We start from the raw sequence: 2,712 nt of genomic DNA, 5'->3' as shown, positions 1-2,712 counted from the left end.
TTTCAGCTCTTTTGACATTTTTGCTTTTTCTGGAACACAAGACAAGTACATCCCCCAGTGGATGCCTGAAGCTGTAAATGGTACCAGATCCTATATGTACTATGTTTTTTCCTATACATACATACCTATGATAAAGCTTCATTTATAAATTAGGCACAGTCAGAGATTAACAATGACTGATAATAAAATAGAACAAGTATAACAGTATGTCAGCATCGCTACTCTTGCACTCAAGGGCGATGATTAAGTTAAAAAAAGGGGGTTACTTACTTGAACACTAACATTGTGATACCTCGACAGTCAATCTGAGGACCTACAGCAGTACTGAGTGGCTCATAGGCAGGTAACTCTACAGCATGGAGACGCTAGACAAAGGGAGGATTCATGATCTGGTAGGGAGGGAGCAGGATGGCTCAAGATTTAATCACGCTACTCAGAATGGTACACAATTTAAAACCTATAAACTGTTTATTTCTGGATTTTGTCACTTAATGTTTTTGAACCACAGTAGACCATGGGTAACTGAAACCACTAAGTGAAACCTCAGATGGTGACTGTCTACCCGGACAGCCATGTACTCGCTGTTTCCTCTTCTTGCTATGCTGTTCCCCTAGTTATGTACATGATGCACGCCCTCCCTTAATTCAAGCCTCTGAACAAATGTCTCTATTTCAGGGAGGCTTTCCCTGAATAAGAAACAAGCTCTGAATAAAATAGCAATAAAATAGCCCTCTACCCTCCCACTGTCTAGTCTCCTGCTCTGTTTCCCTCTTCTCCATAGCACTTATGATGTACTTAGTTATTTATCATCTATCTTCTCAAGCTGTAGATCAAGGACTCTGTCTCCTTGCTTTAATTCTTTGTCTCCATTTTCCTCTGGTACAAAATGGGATTTCAATAAATACGTTTTGAGTGGATGGATGAATGAATGAATGAATGGGCTTTGAAGAGAGCCTTTTACATAATGAGTCCTAAATAAGTATTATTTATAATTCTTATTCCTAATTAATCTTTCCCAAAATAGTCACTGCTGTGATCAATTTTCTGTATGCTTTTCTCTTCTCTTATTCTGCTCTGAAAATGTCATGCCGAAAGACAGAACACATTCAAACAAAGGGCAAGATCCAATGTCCAAGTGTGATCGTAAAATAGGAAGCCTGACAATATCCCTTGAAATCTCAAAAAGTATAAACATTCTGGAAACCTAGACTCACAGAAAGGCACTATACTGGAACTTTGGTTAAAATATGAACACCAAATTCCCTTATTCTTTATTTTTTTAATCAAAAATATTCATCTTCACATGTGTGGCCTTTTTTCTCTCCCTTCTAAGTTCCATTCCAGGCCCAGAGGAGATATCTAACCTGGGCCATCTATTTTCATCACTTGCAGGCATGAATTTTTCCTCCTCAAATGCTTAGAATTTTAAATCTCTCATAGAGCATTTATAACTTAATAGCTTTAAATTATAATAATTGGTATTTGTTTCTCATTTCCCTTACTAAGTTATAAGTTTCATGGAGGCCAAGAAAATATATTTTGTCCTGTATTTCTTTCTTTTTTTAAAAAAAAAAAAGAAAAAAAGAAAAAGAAGTAGAGATGAGGTCTCACTGTGTTGCCCAGGCTGGTCTCGAATTCCTGAGCTTAAGTGATCTTCCTGCCTCACCCTCTTGAAGTGCTGGGATTGCAGCTGTAAGCCAATGTGCCTGGCCTTCAACCTGTATTTCTCGTGGCATCTAGCCTGAATGAGGGACATAAAAATAGTTTTGAATAATGAAAAAGACTTAGTCAAACTAGGCACACAAAAATACACTGATATCTTTTCTTTTCTTTTCTTTTTTTTGGACATAGAGTCTCACTCTGTTGCCCAGGATAGAGTGCAATGGCATGATCTCTGCTCACTGCAACCTCCACCTCCCGGGTTCAAGTGATTCTCCTGCCTCAGCCTCCTGAGTAGTTGGGATTACAGGCGCACACCACCACATCTGGCTAATTTTTGTATTTTTAGTAGAGACGGGGTTTCACCACATTGGCCAGACTGGTCTCAAACTCCTGACCTCAAGTGATCTGCCCGCCTTGGACTCCCAAAGTGCTTGGATTACAGGTATGAACCACCACACCCGGCCATTCTGATTTCTTTTGATAGTTGTGAAAAAAACAACTGTGAAATAGCCCTGGCTTCTCTGAGTGGAAAGTGTTAAATTAAATAAGCTCATTTTTGCCATTAACTACTAACAACCCTATCAACTCATTGCATGAAGATGAATTTAATTCATTGTTTCTTATCCCTTTGGTATTCTTATTGAAGGTAGAGATGTAGTTTTATTTTCTTTTTCTGAGACTTACCATCCAGAAAATCAAAATACTGTAATACTCTCTTGCTCATAGGGCTGAGTAATGAGGCAATTAATTATCATGTAATGCATTGTAACTCCTGGAGTAAAGGTTTTATATGCGTGCAAAGGGGTATTATTCTAGGAGAGTTATGACACTGGCAGTCTTTGACTCGTGGGTGGTGTAGGTGGAGTGAGGTGATGAGGCAGCAGCTGAACAAACTTCACTGAATTAAGAAATAGGGATTTAAAATTTGCCTTGTGAGATGCTGGTAGAGTGATGGCCTCACTGATACTTCTGAAGGAATGGCCTGAGCATTATTAGAAACACGGACATAAAAGAACAGTTGGGTCTTACCTATCAATTTTGCAGTTAGCA

The 2,712-nt window shown here is 38.7% G+C and overlaps 1 annotated feature.

Annotated features, from left to right (window-relative positions):
• Nucleotides 572–651: an enhancer, noted in NCBI's record as "active region_23965". NCBI's record gives its function as "activates an Ori minimal core promoter by ATAC-STARR-seq in GM12878 lymphoblastoid cells {active_cell/tissue: GM12878}" and the evidence as "EXISTENCE:reporter gene assay evidence [ECO:0000049][PMID:35858748]".

This window comes from Homo sapiens, chromosome 6 (genome assembly GCF_000001405.40).
Source record: "Homo sapiens chromosome 6, GRCh38.p14 Primary Assembly".
Lineage (NCBI taxonomy): Eukaryota > Metazoa > Chordata > Mammalia > Primates > Hominidae > Homo > Homo sapiens.
This window is presented reverse-complemented; position numbering and strand designations above follow the sequence as displayed.